Source organism: Homo sapiens, chromosome 9, assembly GCF_000001405.40.
Source record: "Homo sapiens chromosome 9, GRCh38.p14 Primary Assembly".
In the NCBI taxonomy this organism is placed as follows: Eukaryota; Metazoa; Chordata; class Mammalia; order Primates; family Hominidae; genus Homo; species Homo sapiens.
In genome coordinates this window covers 6,263,800-6,285,150 of record NC_000009.12, presented here as the reverse complement: position 1 = coordinate 6,285,150, position 21,351 = coordinate 6,263,800, and the positions used below count along the sequence as shown (strand labels likewise).

Genomic DNA, 21,351 nt, shown 5'->3' with positions numbered 1-21,351 from the left:
CCCACAAGCACAGGCAACCAAAGCAAAAATGGACAAATAGGATCACATCAAGTTAAGAAGCTTCTGCACAGCAAAGGAAACAATCAACAAAGTGAAGAGACAATTCACAGAATGGGAGAAAATATTAGCAAACTATCCATCTAAAAAGGGATTAATAACTAGAATATCTAAGGAGCTCAAACAACTCTGTAGGTAAATAATCTAATAATCTGACAAAAAAATGGGAAAAATATCTGAATAGACATTTCTCAAAAGAAGATATACAAACGGCAAATAGGTATATGAAAAGGTGTACAACAGCATTGATCATCAGAGAAATGCAAATCAAAACTGCAATGAGATATCTTACCCCAGTTAAAATGGCTTTTATCCAAAAGTCAGGCAATAACAACTGCTGGTAAGGACATGGAGAAAAAGGGACCCTCATACACTGTTGGTGGAATATACAGTAGTACAACCACTACGAAAAACAGTTTGGAGGTTCCTGAAAAAGCTGAAAATAGAGCTACCATGTGATCCAGCAATCCCACTCCTAGTTACATGCTCAAAAGAAAGGAAATTGATACATTGAAGAGATATTTTCACTTCCATGTTTATTGCAGCCCTATTCACAATAGCCAAGATTTGGAAGCAACCTAAGTGTCCATGAACAGATGAATGGATAAATAAAATGTAGCATATATACACTATGGAATATTATTCAACCATAAAAAAGAATGAGATTCTGTCATTTGCAACAACATGGATGGAACTGGAGGTCATTACCTTAAGTGAAATAAGCCAGGCACACAAAGGCAAACCTTGCATGTTCTCACTTATTTGTGGGAGATAAAAATTAAAAACAACTGAACTCATGGAGAAAGAGAGTAGAATAGAATGATGGTTATCAGATGTTGGGAAGAGCAATGGGACAGGGAAAGTTGGGGAGGAGGTAGGGATGGTTAATAGGTACAAGAAAATAGAAAGAATGAATAATACCTAGTATTTGCTAGCACAACAGGGTGACTATAGTAAAAAGTAATTTGATTGTACATTCAAAAATAACTAAAAAGAGTATAATTGGTTTGTAACACAAAAGATAAATGCTTGAGGTGATAGAAACCCCATTTACCCTGATGTGATTATTATTATTGTTATTGCATGCTTGTGTCAAAATGTCTCATGTAATCCATAAATATACATACCTACTATGTACCCATAAAAATTAAAATATAATTTTTTAAAAAAACAAAGGCTTCTGTAAGGAGGACGGTTGCTTTAGGAAAGAGTTTAGTCTACTGTGGTCTTATTCACTAGAATTTAACTGACACAGTAGAAACCTTTGGCACACTATGAAGGAGCCTCTGTTTTTGAGCATGAGAATGGAAGCTGTGATGGCTCTGCCTGGCAGATTGTCAATATCTTCTCAGTTTTGGCAAGTTGCTTTGTTAGAATTTTAGATTGGCCAAGTCCTAGTATTGTCAAAAAAAACCCAACCAAACAAATAAGGGATGAAGAGTAATGGCTGAAGAGGTTTCCTAGTTGCGAGAGTTCTTTTTTTTTTTTTTTTGAGACTGAGTCTCGCTCTGTCTCCCAGGCTGGAGTGCAGTGGCGCAATCTCGGCTCACTGCAAGCTCGGCCTCCCGTGTTCACGCCATTCTCCCGCCTCAGCCTCCTGAGTAGCTGGGACTACAGGCGCCCGCCACCACGCCTGGGTAATTTTTTTTGTATTTTTAGTAGAGATGGAGTTTCATCGTGTTAGCCAGGATGGTCTCGATCTCCTGACCTCGTGATCCGCCTGCCTCGGCCTCCCAAAGTGCTGGGATTACAGGTGTGAGCCACTGCGTCTGGCCAAGAAAGTTCTTTTTTTTTTTTTTTTTTTTTTTTTAAATGATCATGTTCAGTAGCTTCTCTGGCTAGTTTGATATTTGGGTAAAGTAGCTGTTAACTATTGTGAGGATTGGGGCAGAGAGCAAAGGGGCAAAAGAAGATATAAGGCAACGAGAGAGAGGAGGAAGTTAAACTGGTTTGCTGCCTTTCCTGGCTTGCCTCTGCCCTGACTTCTAAGTCCAGGAACAAAAATTCTTGGAAGAAGTAGAGGTTAAAAATCTCTGGGAGGCTAGGATAGAGTTCAATATTGTGCTTTTCTCAGAGGCCGCATGGTGCATGACTAGGGGAACCATTCACATGAATCAGTGCAATGATGTGTGCATAAGTAGTCTGTATATCTCGTTAAAATGCTGATTTAGTATGACTGAGATGAGGTGTGAAATTTTCCATTCTTTTCTTTTCTTTCTTTTTCTTTTTCTTTCTTTCTTTTTTTTTTTTTTTTGAGACAGGGTGTTGTTCTGCCACCCAGGCCAGAGTGCGGTGGCACAATCACAGCTCACTGCAGCCTTGACCTCCCCAGGCTTGAGCGATCCTCCCATCTCAGCTGGCACTACCGGCATGGGCCACCACACCCACTAGTTTTTAAAATTTTTTGTAGAGATGGGGTTTCTCCATGTTGTCCAGGCTTGTCTTGAACTCCTGGGCTCAAGCGATTTGCCTGCCTCAGCCTCCCAGAGTGCTGGGATTATAGGTGTGAGCCACTGCACCTGGCTGAAATTCTCCATTTCTAACTTGCTCCCAGGTGAATGAGAATGTTGCATGTCTAAGAACCATATTTTAAATAGCAAGTTTCCAAGGAAATTATGCATATTAATCCTCAAAACAATCTTATAATGTAGTAGTCACTGCAGTATTTCTAATTTATACACAAGAAAGTTGAGATTAAATCACTAGCCTAGTTCACCCAACTAAGTAAGGAACAAAGCCAGGATTTAAACTCAGGTAGTCTGCATCTATCATCTACATTTACAAATATATGTATAAATTAATAAAATTTATTTTTTAGAGCAGTTTTAGGCTTATAGAAAAATTGAGTGGAAAGTAGAGAGAATTCCCACCTATACTGCTTCCTACCTCCCCACAGCTTCCTTTATAATTAGCATCTTGCATTGGTGTGTTACATTTGTTATAGTTGATGAATCAATATTGGTACATTGTTACTAACTAGAGTCCATAGTTATCAATAATGATATCAAACAAACTATTGTACTTGTTTATGTATCTACCATACTCGGCTTGTTATTATTTTAGTGTACTTGTTCTATTTGTTTTTTTGTTTGTTTGTTTGTTTCTCAGCTTAATAAAAGTTTATTTTCACAGTGCTGCAGAGGTAAGTCCCCAAACTTTACAATGCTCATTTGTTTCTCTCAAAAAGATCTCTTTTTTTAAAAAAAGGCTTTAGAATACCACACCATGTTTAAAATCCTGCAAGCTATTTTTGAAATCTAAATTAAATTCTGACAATGATAAAATGTTTGCCAGCCAATCAAAGTCCCAAACTAATTAACATTCAAAGTAAAAAAGAATCATCATTGGGATCTCATTATATTTTGATAGCTGTAAAGGCTGATTGACTTCTGTCATTCCTAGTGTTAGTGTCATAAGCAAATAATATCACTTACATTCTAGAAAAAGAAATAAGCATATTTGTCTTGTACATCTTATACACTGAGGTATAAAACCATGTTTTACCAACTTTTTTTATTAATGTACCAAATAATTTCTTCCACAATGGCAACTGTGGTAAAATCCCCCATAGCATTAGCCAACCTGCTGGCATGTTCTATGGTCTTCTAATTAATATAGTGCACAGACATTTATAAGCTACACAGCCACAGTAATTTACAAGTAACTAATAAATATTGAAATGCTGGGAATATAACAAAACTACATTCTAAATAGTTTACTTTCCCTTTTTCCTTATATTATTACTTTTATATTCATTCTTCCCACTCATTTTTTCACTAGACTCTATTAAATTTAAGATTTAAATATGGCTAAGCATAAGACAAAAGAGATGAGTGTCAACAATATAGCTGAATTTTATCAGTGTCCAAGGCACTTAAAGCTGTTCTCCAAAAGATAAGTTATTCAACCCAAGGCAAACAGAGAAAGTTGGATTTGAATCTTAGGTTCTTTATATTTTTAACTGTCAGGTCCACAGGAACATCCAAGGCTCAAGTTTTGAATGTCTACATGTCATGAAGTTAACTGGAAAAAAAAAAAAAAAAAGAAGTTAACTGGCACTAGTGGAATGTCGATTACTGAAGATGAACCCCTAGACACATTCAGCAAGACATTCAACTTGCAGAAGGCAGGGAATTTGGAGTGGTACACAATCAGATAACAAGGTTTCAAGCTCTAGTCGAAGACAAGATGATATTATACCTAAATAACAATTTCTAAGGAACTTGAATAACAATCTCTAAGGACTCTTGTCACTATATGAAGAACTTAAGTTAATGGCTCCATAATCTTAATTAAAAGGACAGCCATTTAATCAATTTTCTGCAGTGAATTATTAGACTAACTTCCTAGCATCTGGAGATTACAGTATGTTCCACCTTGAAGCTATCACAATCAAGACTATTACCTGACATGCATTCAACAAATATTCGATGACAAACAAAGTATAAGGTTAATTAATTATAAGGTTACAGAAAGTTAGGTCTCCTAACACCTAAGTGTTAAGTGGACTCAATGTTGAACCTTTTTGAGTGCCAACATGACACTCAAAGGAAATGCTCATGAACATTTCAGATTTCAGATTTGGGATGCCCAACTGGTAAGTATAACACAAATATTCCAAACTTTGAAAAAAATTATGAAATCTGAAATACTTCTTGTCCCAAGCATTTTTTGGAAAAGGGATACTCAACCTGTACCTTATAACTTCCTTATAACTTTTGGCTCTACCACTTCTATCCCTATATGGAAGCTGAAGTATGTTATTACTGCTGTTACATGACTATTTTTCTACATTGTGGTTCTATTTCTGCTAAATTATTCTTACAGTCTTTATCAATTTAAGTTTTTTAAAAAACTGCCTTTTTAGAACTCTGAAACAGTATTTAAAAATTAAATTAAAAAAATTTTAAGTTTTGTTCATCATATACAATACAATTCTGATATATGATGTTAGACAAATTATTAGCCAGGTAATTTCTGTTCACCTAGTATCAATGCTATAAAGAGCTTCAAGTGAACTTTCTTTAGTGAGATGAGTTTCAATGATCCTAAAGATGGTAAATGAACCATTATTTGTGTGTCTAAAGTGTGTACTCTTAAGAAATTATCCATAAATCAAAAACAAAAATTTAAGCAATTGTTAAATATAATGTTAACAGGAACATTGAGCAATAAATTGAAACTTTTAAATTTAACTCATATCTGCTTAGTTTTTTATTTAGTTAAGTATAAAGGCCCAGTTAATTAATCAATTCATTAGATTGGTCAAGGCATGACACTTGAACTACACAATAGGATTTAAAAAGCAGTTGGTTTTTTTAGTAGTTCTCTGGTAATCACACGCACATACACACATACACAAAAATTTGTAGAGTACTCTGAATATAGGATTTCCCCCATAATCTTGCATCTGCTGTATTTTGTAAACTATATAAACTGGACATGGCCAAATTAGAGATGTCTGATAAACTCTTATAAAGTATTTGGGAACTTCAACTGGATTCCCAAAGGATGAATTTTAAACTATAAAAAACAAATATTCATATAAAAGCACAACAGATTTAACAGACATCTTTGGAAAAAAAATCAAATTGTAACTCAATTTTCTACTTTTTCAAATACGACTAAGGAAAAAAGTTACAAGTAGTAATGTCTACCTTAAAAAAAAACACACATTAACTGGGTGATTGTGTGGGGGGTGGGGAAAGCTATACAGTATTATTGCACTCCATGAATGTGAAGAATTCCAAAATATGCCAGCACGGAAAAGCTATCTTGCATTGAGGTTTTCCAAGAGGTACAACGAGCATGCTAAGAAAGCATTTGGTCTGTACTAACAGCTTGCTCTCTTCAGTACAGGCCTTCATAATGTCAGTCAAGCTGCTCTTGGAATGATCCCTTAATGCAAAAGAGTTTTCAGTGCTGATAGGTGGTGCTATGATCGATGGTGTGGGATTGAATCCATATGCACATTGAGCTTCATTTCATTGTCAAGAATTTGAACAAGCTGTTGCATGGATGGAAGGTGACCGGATTCCAGCTTAGACCACACAGGTACATCATTTAAAGTTATCTCAAATGCACCTGTTGACATACACTGGTTCTCAATCATGTTGCTCAAGAAGAAAACCATCATACATGCATAGACCTTATTTTCTTGGCCCCACTGCCAGATGCTAGGAGCTTGCATGCCAAAGAAAGCAAAAGGATCCTTGCCAACAATTATTAAGCCTATTAATACTAGTTTGAAGACTGACAGGAAAGATGCTATGTGTCTATACATTGGTTGAGGGAGGTAATTCTCTCCTTCAATACGGATGTCTGGGTACCCCTGGCTAGTAACCCACATGTACTCCTCAAACACCCGCCTATAACCTCAGGAAACACAAATCTGGAACTTGAGCAGTGGCCCCGTGGCGTACTGCATCTTTAATCTCGCTGGGCACGCCACCCAGATTGGCCGAGGCCTCGCTCCGGACCATCACAGACACCGCCACTCTCTATGTTTTTTTCAGGGTAACTGTGAAACAGCCTCAGGCAGATTTTTCCAGGTATTCCAGAAAAAGACCTCATTATCATAGAAGGTGACAGTTCTATGTGTGTTATTGCCCCTGAAGAAATTCCAGTGGGACAAGATGTGGAGGTGGAAGACAGTAATATTGGCGATCCTGACTCTGTGTAGGCCTAGGCTAAGGTGTGTGTGTCTTAGTTTTTAACAAAAAAGTTTAAAAAGTAAAAAAAAGAATTAAAAAATTTAAAAAATAGAAAAAAGCTTATAGATAAGGATATAAATAAAATACTTTTATACAGTTGTACAATGTTTGTGTATGTAAAAAGTTATGTACATAATTGCATGTGCTATAGTTTTATATGCCTGGCAGTGCAGTAGGTTTGTTTACACCAGGATCATCACAAACATGAGGAATGTGTTGTGCTAGGATGTTATGATGATTATGTCATAAGTAGGTAATAGGAATTTTTCAGCTCCATTATAATCTTATGTGATACAGTGGTATATATGGTCCATCACTGACTGAAATGTCATTGTGTGGTGCATGACTGTAGTTGGGATCAGAGTATGTAGCCTTTCAGACTAGCTTCTTTCACTTAGTAAGTTAGGGATCCTCCATATTTTTTTGTGACTTAATAGCTCATTCCTTTTATTGCTGAATAGTATTTCACTGTCTGGATTGCCCATTCATCTATTGAAGGGCATTTTGGTTGCTTTTAATTTGGGGCCATTATGAATAAAGCTGCTATAAATGTCCATGTGTAGGTTTTTATGTGGATTTAATTTTTTAACTCAAGTATTTGACTAGAATTTAACTAAGTGTTTGAGTAATTATTTAGGAGCGAAACTGCTGGGTTATATGGTAAGACTATATTTAGTTTTGTAAGAAACTGCCAAATTGTCTTCCAAAGTGGCTGTATCATTTTGCTCCCACCCCCAATGAATGAGAATTCCTGTTGCGCAACATCCTTGCCAGCATTTGATATTATTAGTGTTTTGGATTTTGGCCATTTGAATAGGTGTGTAGTTGCATCTTATTTTAATCATGTTTTCTTTTTAACCATTATATTCTACCACCTCTCACTATAAGCAGCAGTTTGTTTTCCTGTTATTCTAGGCAAACCAAATTCCAGTCCCACTGCGGAATTTAGCATTGTACCAGACTTCAAATTGGTTAATAACAAACAAACAAAAAGACCCTATAAAAACCATTGCACTTTCAGTTCTCTCTAAAAATGTCAAAAGGTTTCACTCACAGGCTAGTACGTGAATTCCACACTGCATGGCATCAGGCCGACTGCCATTCTACTTTAGTTTTTAGTCAGGTTTATTGAGGGATAGTTTTAATACAGTAAAACTCATCATTTTAAAGTATATAGTTTGATGAGTTTTAGCAGTATACGGATGTATAACCACCACCACAATCAAGATATAGGACATTTCCATCACTGCAAAAGGTTGTCCTTTTGTAATCCATCCCTGCCCTAGGCAACCACTACTGTCTAATATAGTGTTTGGCTTTTTAGAATGCTATATAAATAGAATCATAGAGTGTGTACTCTTTTTAAATAATTTTGTTTCATACTAGTTTTTCTAGGGGTTCCATTTTCACCTCTCAGTAGATTTTACATATTTCTCATATGCCTCTGCATTTATCAGTTCATCTAGTTCTGAAGGGTTACTCAGTGTCATCTTGATCAGCCCACCATCTTCATAACAAGATTTACTGACAAGTCCTGGATTTTCTACAAGAGCTTCATTAATTTTGGTAACTTCTTCTGATAGAGGAGAATAAAGTTCAGTAGCAGCTTTCACACTTTCCAAAGCACTAAACTAGTCTCGTTTGTTCGATTTTGTCCCAATTTCAGGCATACTACAGTAAACATCTCCCAAAAAGCTTCCTGTGCAAAATTGCTGATTCCCACTGTTCCAATACCATTTTCTCTTATCCATTCATTTTTCTTTTTTTTTGGTGAATTTGTGCAACAAGGGCTGAACCTGGTCGTGGCAGCGTCGGTAGTGCCCACCCTCAGCCCTCAAGGCGGCCACGGGTTCCTAGGCCCTGTGCAAGGTGCAGGCCACGTCGCATGCTCGGCTGCTCAGCGTCAGGTGCCGATTTTTTCCTGCGTTTTCTTAGGGAAGTTTTATAGTTTTAGCTCTTATATTTAGGTCTGTGTCTTTTTAAATTAATTTTTGTGTATGACATGAAATAAAGACAGATGTTCATTTTTTCCTTCGCTTCCTTACCTTTTCTTCTTTCCTCTCCTTCCCTTCCCTCCCTCCATGCTTTTTTCCTCCTTCCCTCCCTCTCTCCCTCCGTCTTCTTTCTTACAGATGCCCTTACGGATTCTTACAGATGCCCTTACGGATTCTTACAGATGTCTTCTTTCTTACAGATTTTTTCCTGCGTTTTCTTAGGGAAGTTTTATAGTTTTAGCTCTTGTATTTAGGTCTGTGTCTTTTTAAATTAATTTTTGTGTGTGACATGAAATAAAGACAGATGTTCATTTTTTCCTTCGCTTCCTTACCTTTTCTTCTTTCCTCTCCTTCCCTTCCTTGTTTTCCTTCCCTTCCCTCCCTCCCTGCTTTTTACCTCCTTTCCTCCCTTTCTCCCCCCTTTCTTTCTTACAGATGTCCAATTATCCAAGCACCATTTGTTGAAAAAGCATCCTTTCTCCACTGATTTACATCTTTGTTGAAAGGCAATTGACCATATATGGTTGGAGCAATTTCTACACTCTTCTGTTCCACTGACTTATATGTCTATCTTTAAAGGTCACATTGTCTTCATTACTGTAGCTTTGTAGCTGGTCTCGAAATCAGGTAGTGTGAGACTTCAAGTGCTCTTTTAAACTTTTTTTAAGAGTCTCTTCTAGGTCCTTGAGATTTTCATTTAAATTTTATAATCAGCTTATCAATTTCTATTGAAAAAACTTGCTGTGGCATTGACAGGGATAGCACTAAATCTATAGATAAATTTGGAAGAATTAACATATTAATATTGATTATTTCTATGCATACATGTGGTATAGCTCTTCATTTAGTTACATCTTTAAGAACTTTTCTCAGTAATATTTTATGGTTTTTGTGGTATAGGCCTTGAAATATTTTGTTAAGTGTATTCCTATGTATTTTTTGTTTTGATTCTATTGTATATATTTTTTCACATTTTAGTTTATAATTATTTTTTGATAGTATATAAGAAATATATACTGCATACATTTTTGTATATTGGCCCTATGTCTTGTGACCTTACTAAATTTACTTGTAAGTTCTAATAACTTTTTTTCATTGCTTCTTTAGAATTTTCAATATATAAGATCATGTCATCTGCAGATAAAGATAGTTTTGCTTTTTTTTAATCTATTGGCTTTTATTTCTTCTTCTTGCCTGATTGTGCTGGTTAGTATCTCCAGTACAATATTAAAATAGACATAGTGAGAACAGACATCCTTGCTGATTGCTATAGAGGGAAAGCATTCAGCCTTTCAGAATTGAAGATGAGGTTAAATTTATGTTTTGTGTAGATGATTTTTATCATGTTGAGGAAGTTCCCTTTTATCTCTAGTTTGCTGATAGTTTTTAATCCCAAAGGGATGTTGAATTTTGCAAGTCCTTTTCTGTATTTATTAAGATATCATTTTGGTTTTGAATTTGTTGATATAATGAATTTGATTATGATTGATTTTCAAATGTGGAACCAACCCTGCATACCTGGAATAAATCACATTTAATAATGTATTATGTTTTATATATTACTGGTTTCAACTTATCAATATTTTGTTAAATATTTTTGAGTTGATATTCAGGAAGGATATTGGTTGTTCTGTTTTAGTTTCTTGAAACATATTTGGTTTTGCTATTGGGGATAATGCTGTCATCATAAAATGAGTTTTTGTTTCCCTCCTTTCTATTTTTCTGGAAAAGTTTGTGTAAAATTGGTATAATTTCTTCCTTAATTGCTGGCTAGAACTCACCTGTGAAGTCATTTAGGCCTGGAGTTCACTTTGTGGCAAAGTTTTAACTATGATTTCAATTTCTTTAATAAACATGGCTATTCAAATTATCTATTTCTTCTTCAGTGAGTGTGAGTAATGATTTCAAGGAATTTGTCCATTTCATGTAAGCTTTCAAATATATTAACAAAAATATTTTAAAAGTATTCTCTTATTGTCCTATGGGATTGATAGTGATGCCTCTTCTTTCATTCCTGATATTGATAATTTACATCTTTTTGTTGTTGTTGTTGACCAGTCTAGTGGCAGGTTTATCAGTTTTTCTGAGCTATCTAAAGAACCAGGGCTTATTTATTTGTTTTTTTGTTTGTTTGTTTGTTTTCTATTTCACTGATTTCTCCCATTTATTATATCTTTTCTTCTTGCTTTGGGTTTAATTTGCTTTTCTTTTGCTAGTTTTTAATGTGGAGGTTTATAGCACTGATTTGAGACTTTGCTAAAATAAGCATTTAATGTTGTAAACTTCCCTTTAAACATTACTCTAGCTGTGTCCCACTTATTTTGACATATTACATTTATTTTCATTTAAATAAAATATTTTCTAATTTTCGTTGTGATTTTTTTGGGGTATATAGTTATGGAAAAGTATTGTTTAATTTCCAAATACTTGGAGATTTTCCAAATATCTTTCTCTTATTGACTTCTAATTTAATTCTAATGTGGTCAGGTAAGTTTTTTGTTTTTTTTTTTAGAGAGAAACTTACTCTGTTGGCCAGGCTGGAGTGCAGTGGCATGATCTCGGCTCACTGCAACCCCTACCTCCCAAGATCAAGAGATTCTCATGCCTCAGCCTCCGGAGTAGCTAGGACTACAGTCGTGGGGACTACCATGCCCAGCTATTTTTTCTGTATTTTAGTAGAGTTGGAGTTTAGCCATGTTGGCCAGGTTGGTCTTGAACTCCTGGCCTCGAGCGATCCACCCGCTTCAGCCTCCCAAAGTGCTGGGATTGCAGGTGTGAGCCACTGCGCCCAGCCTGAGAACATACTTAATGTGATTTCAGTTGTTTTGTGTTTCTTGGTGAATGTTCTAGGTGCTTTGAAAATAATGTATATTCTGCTGTTGTTAGGTAGAGTGTTCTGTAAATGTCCACTAGGTCAATTTAGTTGATAGTGTTGTCAGTCTTCTCTATAATTAATGATTTTTTTTGGTATAATTATTCTGTCAAATACTGAAAGAACAGTCTTATAAAGTTTCTCAAACTGTTATTGGACCATTCCAGATTCTTTCCTAAACATGCCTTCCCTGGCTCAGTAGTATTTGGGCAGGACCTGTAGTAGAGCAGGCACCAGCCAAGTAATCAAATATTAGTATCCTTTGGCTGGCTCCCCAAATTTAGCCATATTTTTTTATTTTATGGGAAATGTTCACTTTTGGTTTCCAATAAATAAAGGGAAGGGGATTTTTTTCCTCTTTACAAACTTAGTGTTCCTCAAAAAGATGACTTTTTGGCCAGGTGCAGTGGCTCACACCTGTAATCCCAGCAATTTGGGAGGGCAAGGTAGGAGGATCACTTGAGGCCAGAAGCTCAAGACTAGGCTGGGCAACATAGTGAGACCTCATTTCTACAAGAAACAAGAAAAAAATTAACCAGGCGTGGTGGCACATGCCTGTAGTGACAGCAACTCAGGAGGTTGAGGCAGGAGGATCACTTAATAAGGTGGGAGGTTGAGGCTGCAGTGAGCCGTGATTACCTCTTTGCACTCCAGCCTGGGCAACAGAGCGAGACCCTGCTAAAAAAAAAAAAAGTAAGATGACTTCTATCACCTCTTAGTCCTCTTTTACAAGGAAGGGGAAGGATGTGTCAAGGGAGAGACTGCTGCCCCAAATAGCTGAATTTCAAATATTGGGTACTTTACTGTTTTTGTTTCTAGCAATGGGGTCTTGGTGATAGTTCCAGGGAAAAATAGGAAAAATTCTATTAAATAAGTTGTAGTTGCATGAAACTGAATTACTAAATCAGTTCATCCTGTTCTCCTTAAAATGCTTTACCATAATTACTTAAGATTGCTCACTGAATAGATACTGTTTAGGCCAAACTGGTAGTGTCCCAGCTAAGGCTCATTCCAAAATTCCAAACTGTTTGTTTAATGTCATGGAATAAAATAATTCTTTTAACAGAAGCAAAGGCCACTATTGCACAATATCATATTATCAGCACCAACAAGTAGAAACATAGTTAGCTCTCTTGGCTGTGTTTAACTTACAAAACACTCTGTTTGAGGACTCATACAGCTGCAATGTTCTGACCTAAGGGAGCATCTGGCCAGTTCCTCCTTTGTTTGTTTTCCTTGAGTGTGACTCTTTGACAAGTAGGCCTCTTTTGAGGGGAAAGAAAAAGGCTGGTTGGGTTTTAAATTATAAATGAATGTGGAGGAGGAGAAATAGGATTAACACTGGTTGACCTAATTTATGCTAGGCATTGTGCTAAGTGCTTACGGTCATGTCCTTATCCCATCTTCTCAAAATCCCTGTCTAAGTGATGTATTAGCCCCATTTTATAGGCAAAGAGACTGAGGTTCAGAGTGGAATGAAGTCCCATAGCTGGAAGAAATTGAAATTAGAACCAGGATCTCTCTAGTACCAAAGTTCATGCTCTTTTTTGTCTATCATGCTTCTATTAATATGGAGGCTCAACACAAAAGTAACCCACAATCCGTGGCTGCTTTATTGATTAGTTCTGTGGTTTCTGGAATGGTCCTACTCAAATGTGATTGGCAGTTGAGTCCATAAAAATGCCACATTTCTCTTTAGGTTTAGTGTGTTAAGGAAGCTTTGATCATGTCATGTACCTTAAGCAGAACCTGACTATTTTTGTCTTAGATAAATTTGACGTTGTATAATACTGACATCTCTTTGGACTCCAGCCTTTGCAAATATTAGGCTCAATGTCAGGAATGAATAGTGAGCAGCAGCTTAGGGCCTCAGCCTAGGCAAGAAGGGGGGACTAGGAAAGTCCAAAGATTGATAAAGAGAAAGCTTACAGGCAGGCAGGCAACTCCAGGTGTCAGAATTCAGGATAAAGCAAGTCTCTTTTTTATCTCAGTCTCAGATATTACAGACCCAAAAGGTCTTGCTGTGAGAGAGAAGATCATGCAAAGAAGTAACCTAAAGTCCAGGTGATCAGTGACCATGCATCATATCTAAATGGTGCTGTTCCATAGGCAATTGGAAGCACAGCTGGCTTGCAACTCAGGAAGAATATCTGGTCTGGAGAGTTATCAGTCAATAAAGGGGCAGCTAAAACCCTGGGAGCTGATGATCTTGGGCAGGGGAGTGTGGAGGGCAATGTGGAGTGAGGAATGAAGAGGGTCAGGGGTCTGAGAGTCCTTGATGTCTGTTAACTACTCCTTCCTCAACCTGCAGCAGGCTTCCAGCTGTTCTGAACACTTCCTATCCACTCTGTTAGTTAAGGAAAGGGAGGACCTTGAGATGGCTGAACACACAACAGCCAATACCGGTCAGATGAGATTGGCAGTGGTTTATTAGTCACATATACACACAGGGTGGGGAAAGAGCAACCCCACATGCCATGAGGGGCCACATAGAGCAGAGTGAACCAGCAGAGGCTTTGGGAGGCTAAACTGAGTTCAGAGGTTTGTCTATTCATGGAACTGGACATTCTAATTATTGAGTTGAGACTGTATTTGCAACTTAATATGACAGTAGGACTGTCTATTACTTAAGAATGAATGGAAAAGTATAAGAGGGAGGAGTTGAATAAAGGGATGGTGGAAGACAACTAATGTTTTGATTACCAACTGTGCTTCAAGATTTTTGAATGTACCAATTATATTTCCAACTGTATTTCCATTTAATAATCCCATTGTCAGTTGACCCTCAACCTGTCCTAACAAACTCATTATCTTCCTTCATACTAATTTCTGTTTCCCACCTCCTCATTTCTGTTTCTGACAGCGTCATTTTCTCAAGTGATACTCCTGCCTCAGCCTCCCAAAGTGCTGGGATAATAGATGTGAGCCAGCATGCCTGGCTGCTAAAATTTTTATGGAATTCTGTAGAATTCTTGTGTCTCTGTTGATGAAAAACATTGGTCTGTAGTTTTCTTGTATTGTTGTTTTTGATATCAGTGTATTTTGCCTCATAGAAAAATTAAATAAAACTTCCTCCTCTTCAGTTTTTCTGAAAGAGTTTGTATATATTTCATATTATTTCTCCTTAAATGTTTGGAAGAATTCACTAATGAAGGTTGAAGTTTTCTTATGAGATTTTGAGCTTTACATTTAATTTCCTTAATAGATAGAGGGCTATTAATGTTTCCTGTTTCTTCTTGAGTGAATCTTGGTAGTCTGTGCCTCTCAAGGAATTTGTCTGTTTTCATTACGGTTGTCAAATTTATTGATGTAGTGATGCCTATAATATTTCCATCTTATTATTTTTAATATCTTTAGAATCTCTACTGATGTTAACTCTCTTATTATGGATAATGGTAATTTGTGTCCTCTTTCTTTTTTTTTCCTGATCAGTCTAGACAAAGGTTTATCAATTTTATTGATTTTTTCAATATACAACTTTTGATTTCTCTATTTTTTTCTGACCTATTTAATATTAATAAATTATTATATAAATTTTTAGTTATCCAATTCCTGTGTCTTGGAACATCTGCACTTTTATGCAATGATCTTTTGAAGGATTTTTACTATTACATTTTTTATATTTATAATGTAATATTCTATGCATATTGCTGTGGTCCGAATGGTTGTGTCCCCCCAAGTGTTGAAATTCTAACCCCCAAGGTGATGGTATTAGGAGGCGAGACCTTTGGGAAGTTATTAGGTCATGAAGGTGGAGCCTTCATGAGTAGAATTTGTGCCTTATAAAAGAGACTCCAGAGAGTTAGGTAGCCATTCTGGCCATGTAAGGTTATGACCAAAAGATGCTGTCTAGGTTGAAAAGGCCCTTGCGAGACAATGAATCTGCCAGTGCCTTGATCTTGGATTTCCCAGCCTACAGAACTGTTAGAAATAAGTTTATGTTGTTTATAAGCTACCCAGTTAATTTTGTTATCATGGCCTGAATGAACTAAGACATATATGAAAGAATTTATGAAACCTATTTGTAGGTTGAGAAGTATAAATAAATATCTATTTCTTTCGTAGATTCGTTTTGTAGATTAATACCTGTCAGATTTCATCTTTCTGATTTCTGCTTCGTATTTTATCTCTCAGAAAATAAATTCTCTTAAAGTTGTGGAGTCATTTGATTGTGTTCTAATTGTACCTAAGAAAAAGTGTTCTTCTTATCAGTCGGGTTGGTTGGTTTTTCTAAGCTAACTTTCACTGAGTGCTTGCTATGTGCCAGGCAATTCTTATCAGTGGCCTGAGAAGCAGGTGTTACCTTCATGTCTTCTATGGGTTAAGTTTGCTTTAAGGCATATTCAACAGAAAACCCAACACTAGCTTAAGCAAACATGGGTTTATTTTTCTCTCAACATAAAGTTTGCAGTTAGTACTACAAGATTGATATGGCAGCTCTCCAATGTCACATGCGACCTGGTATCTTACATTAGTTTCCCCAGGAGGAGATCCTGAGTTAAGGATTATGATAATGTGATTTACTAAGGAAGTATTCCCAAGAAATACTGATAAGGCAGTCAGGTCAGGGCAGGGCAAGACAGGGCAGGGACAAGCAGGAATCTAAGAATGTGATCTCATGCTAAAGTGCAGAACAGGGCAGATTCAGCATGAGCCCCATGGGAGAATTTTTGAGTGAAATTTAAGACAGAGGTATTCCACCCAAGAACTGGGGAGCTGGGCTTTCAAAAGCCTTGTGAGGCTGGTGGGAGTAATGCAAACTCATAGACATTTTCATCTCTCCATGCGAGGGGGCAAAGCAGCATCAATACCACAAAGGCAATCCTTACAAGAGCTACAAATGCTGGATTTTGAAAGAACATGGAAGATAGTGGTGGTATGGGTGTGTGGCACATATGGAAATAGTATCAAATAATCCAATATAAAGAAATCCAAGGGAATTTGGACAGAGCACCAATATTGTCTACTACACCAGGATTCCTTCATCTTTCCCTCCTGCCTTTTTTTTTTTTTTGAGATAGACTCTTGCTTTGTCACCCAGGCTAGAGTACAGTGGCGTGATCTCAGCTAAATGCAGCCTCTGCCTCCCAGGTTGAAGCAATTCTCCTGCCTCAGCCTCCCGAGTAGCTGGGATTACAGGAGTGCGCCACCATACTCAGTAATTTTTGTATTTTTAGTATAGATGGGGTTTCATCATGTTGGCCAGGCTGGTCTTGAACTCCTGATCTCAAGTGATCTGCCCACCTTGGCATCCCAAAGTGCTAGGATTACAGGCGTGAGCCTGGCCGGGCCCCTCCTGCCACTTCTAATCTGTAGGCCTTTGTCCCCATGCTCATCACCTTGTGGTCAGAAGTTAGCTGCTCTGCATTCAGCATCCTATCTATGGCTCAGGCAGGAAGAGAAGGGGTAAAAGACTGAAAAAGGGCATGCCAGTCAAATATGTCTTTTTAAAAGAAGTTTTTCTTAAACCATTATCCTGCTTATATTTTATTGTCCAGAACTATGCCAAATGGTTACCCCATCTAGCTGCATGGGAATCTGGGAAAGAGTGTATTTTTAGTTGTGTGCACTGTTGTCTGGTAAAAAAAAAAAAATGAGGGTCTATTGGTAAAGCAGTAGGGATGGTGGTTGTGGATATTAGGTAGACAATTACAATATTTGGTACTCCCTATTTACAGAGGAGAAATAGATATTGAGAGAGGTTACTTACCTTACCAAAGTTGCACAGCCTATAAGCAGCAAACCAACCCTGCTCTTAATACATTGGACACTGATTCACGTGATCTCTTTGTGGGCGCATCCTCTGTGCTAGGGACTGTAATTAAACTTGGACAAGTATTTCATCTTTGTATTAGTCAGGGTTCTCCAGAGGGACAGAACCAGTAGGAGATAGATAGATATAGATATATATATATATATATAGCTATATAGATATATATATATATAGCTATATAGATATATATATATAGATATATATATATCTATATATATATACACACACACACAATGTATATATACACTCTATCTATCTATCTATCTATCTATCTATCTATCTATCTATCTATCTATCTGAGTTTATTAAGGATAATTGGCTCACACGATTAAAAGGTGAAGTCCCAAAATAGGCCATCTACAAGTTGGGGAAAAAGAGAAGCTGGTAGAGCGGTTTAGTCCAAGATAGAAAGCCTCAATTCCAGGGAGGCTGAAAGTGTGGCCTTCAGTCTGAGGCTGAAGGCCCAAGAGCCCCTGGGAGGCCACTAGTGCAAATCTCAGAGTCCAAAGCTGAAGAACCTAGAGTCTGATGTCCGAGGATAGGAGGAAAGGAAGCAAGTGCCCGGCAAGGGAAGAGAGTGAGAAGACTAAGTTAGTAAGTTTATCACCCTTCTTCCACCTGCTTTGTTCTAGTTGTGCTGGTGGCTGATTGAATGGTGCCTACCCACATTGAGGGTGGTTCTTCCTTTTTCAGTCCACTGACTCAAAAGTCAATCTTGGCAGGATGCGGTGGCTCAGCCTATAATCCCAGCACTTTGGGAGGCTGAGGTAGGCGAATCGCTTGAGCCCGGGAGTTTGAGAGCAGCCTGGACAACATAGTGAAACCCTGGCTCTACAAAAAAATGCAAATATTAGGTGGATGTGGTAGCACGTGCCTGTAGTCCCAGCTCCCCAGGAGGCTGAGGTGGGAGGATCACTTGAGCCTGGGAGGCTGAGGTTGCAGTGAGCTGAGATTGCTCCACTGCACTCCAGCCTAGGTGACAGAGTGAGACCCTGTCTCAAAAACAAACAAACAAACAAAAATGTCACTCTCCTTTGGCAACACCTTCACAGACACACCCAGAAATAATACTTTACCAGCCATGTAGGCATCCCTCAATTCAGTCAAGTTGACACCTAATATTAACCATCACAGTCATCTTGGCACTTCAGCAGGAAATAATTCATCGATCCTCCCTCTACCAACTCACAATCACTTTCATCTCTTGATTTATTTCCTCAGATTCCTAAGTCCCCATATATAATCCTGACCACTAAAGGGGTTAAAACAACTGAATTTACCCCTTTTACCTAAGACCTACATGAGGAACCTGCTTAACAAGACCTTGAGAATGGATATAAGAATAGATAGGGATGGGTGTTAGGGTATGGGGATAGACAATTCAGTTATATTTCTTTCCCTGATGACAAATCCACACTGATCTTTCTCACCTTTGTACAACTGTACTGCAGAGTTGGAGTTATAATACATATGGTACACGTTTTAGGGGGCTGGGAATGGTGGCTCACGCCTGTAATCCCAGAACTTTGGGAGGCCGAGGTAGGCAGATACCAAGGTCCGGAGTTCGAGACCCACCTGGCCAATATGGTGAAACCCTGTCTCTACTAAAAAAATACAAAAATTAGCTGGGCGTGCTGGCAGGCACCTGTAGTCTCAACTACCAGGGAGGCTGAGGCAGGAGAATTGCTTGAACCTAGGAGGCAGAGGTTGCCGTGAGCTGAGATCATGCCACTGCACTCCAGCTTGGGTGACAGAGTGAGACTCTGTTTAAAAAAAATAATAATAATACATATGGTACATGTTTTAATTTCCATGTGAACAAGGAGCATGGCTTAAGTTTCTTTTGTGCTGTCATGGTGCCTAGCAAAGTCACAGTACATATGGCACCTATTTGATGTATAACTGCTAGAAGATGAGATTTCAGGGCTGTATAGGCTTATACTTGAAGGGAGAAGGAGTTTTGGGACAAGCCTACTACTCCAACCACCCACTGGCATACCACAGCTGAAGATTTCTGTTTTTAAAATTATTTTTTTTAAACTTTTGTTATAGGTTAGAGGGTACAAGTGAAGGTTTGTTACATAGGTAAACTCATGTCATGGGAGTTTGTTGTACAGATTATTTCATCACCCAGGAATTAAGCCCAGTACCCAATAGTTAACTTTTCTGTTCATCTCCCTCCTCCCACCCTCCACCCTCAAGTAGACCCCAGTCTACTTGTATTTATAAATTCATAATGACCTCCAGCTCCATCCATATTCCCACAAAAGACATGATCTCATTCTTTTTCATGACTGCATAGTATTCTAGTGTGTATATGTACCACACTTTCTTTATCTAGTCTGTCACTGATGGACATTTAGGTTGATTCCGTGTCTTTGCTATTGTGAATAGTGCTGCAATGAACATTTGTGTGCATGTATATTTATGGTAGAAAGATTTGTATTCCTATTCCTCTGGGTATATACCCAGTAATGGGATTGCAGCTGAAGATTTCTATCCATCATGAAATTTTTCAGTGTGAGGCACAAGGATTGAAATTATTTTTTGGCTTATTTTGTTCTGCAGAAGTGGGGATTATGAATAAATTGTTTTAGTTTTAAATCAAGCTGCTGTTTTCAAATTAGGTTGGCAATTTTCTTTCCAAATTCCCCCTGAATCTCAACTCTTACTTATTTCTTCCCGATTCTAAGTCATTTTACTCGTTCAAATAAAATTTTCTTGACAGTATTTCAAGATAGTCAGTAAATACATAAAAACCTAAAGAAGACAAATAAAATGAGGAAAAAGTAAGTTTTGACACAATTATCCTTCCTGATACAATGAAATGAACAAATTCTTTCCAGTAATGTGTATTTGGACCATGAAAACACATACAGGTAAGTGACAAAAATGCCACCTCATATTTGAATATTTTAATCAAATTATACTGACTATAATGATGGTGGAAATTTTTTTTTTAAAAAAAGGAAACTTAAACACAGAAAATAAGTGAGCTGAGTTGAAAGTTATCTACCTAAGGAGTCAGAATGATCAGATCAAGGTTCTGGTGCAGGTACCTGTTAGATGTTTGATTCTGAGTAAAAGTCATTGAACACCTTCTTGCCACCCACCAGTATGGGCACTGACAGTACAAAGGTGAAAAAGACACAATCTCTTCTCTTGAAAATATTACTTAGTTTTGAATAACCAAAATTATCAGGTAATGACCTACTCCGGATACCAACATTGGTAGATTGGAATATGCTTACTTTCACTTAAGAATTTCAGAATATCGGGGTCTTGGTTCCAAGATGGCTGAATAGGAACAGCTCAAGTCTACAGCTCCCAGTGTGAGCGACATAGAAGACGGTGATTTCTGCACTTCCACCTGAGGTACTGGGTTCATATCACTGGGGCTAGTTGGACAGTAGGTGCAGGACAGTGGGTGCAGCCCATGGATTGTGAACTGAAGCAGGGTGAGGCATCGCCTCACCCAGGAAGCACAAGCGGCTGGGGAATTCCCTTTCCTAGCTAAGGGAAGCCATAACAGACGGCACCTGGAAAATCGGGTCACTCTCATCCTAATACTGCACTTTTCCAATGGTCTTAGCAAATGGCACACCAGGAGATTATATCCTGTGCCTTGCTCAGAGGGTCCCATGCCCACGGAGCCTTGCTCACTGCTAGCACAGCAGTCTGAGATCAAACTGCAAGATGGCAGTGAGGCTGGGGGAGGGGCGCCCGCCATTGCTGAGGCTTGAGTAGGTAAACAAAGTGGCCAAGTAGCTCTAACTGGGTGGAGCCCACCGCAGCTCAAGGAGGCCTGCCTGCCTCTGTAGACTCCACCTCTGGGGGAAGGGCATAGCTGAAGAAAAGGCAGCAGAAACTTCTGCAGACTTAAACATTCCTGTCTGACAGCTTTGAAGAGAGTAGTGGTTCTCACACCACCAAGTCTGAGAT

The 21,351-nt window shown here is 37.9% G+C and overlaps 1 long non-coding RNA gene and 1 pseudogene across 2 annotated transcripts in view; one reads left to right on the top strand and one right to left on the bottom strand.

Moving 5' to 3' along the window:
* Positions 1–21,351, top strand: part of LOC107987046 (uncharacterized) — a 100,037-nt gene that overhangs the window by 43,118 nt on the left and 35,568 nt on the right. Inside the window, exon 3 of one of the 2 annotated variants that reach the window (XR_001746613.3) lies at positions 4,026–4,209. The exons of the other annotated variant lie outside the window; for it this stretch is intronic. This is a non-coding gene — a long non-coding RNA (uncharacterized LOC107987046). Of the gene's footprint in view, positions 1–4,025; positions 4,210–21,351 lie in introns of those variants that run through there. 2 annotated transcript variants of the gene reach the window in all.
* SELENOTP1 (selenoprotein T pseudogene 1) lies at positions 3,162–6,555 on the bottom strand (annotated as a pseudogene).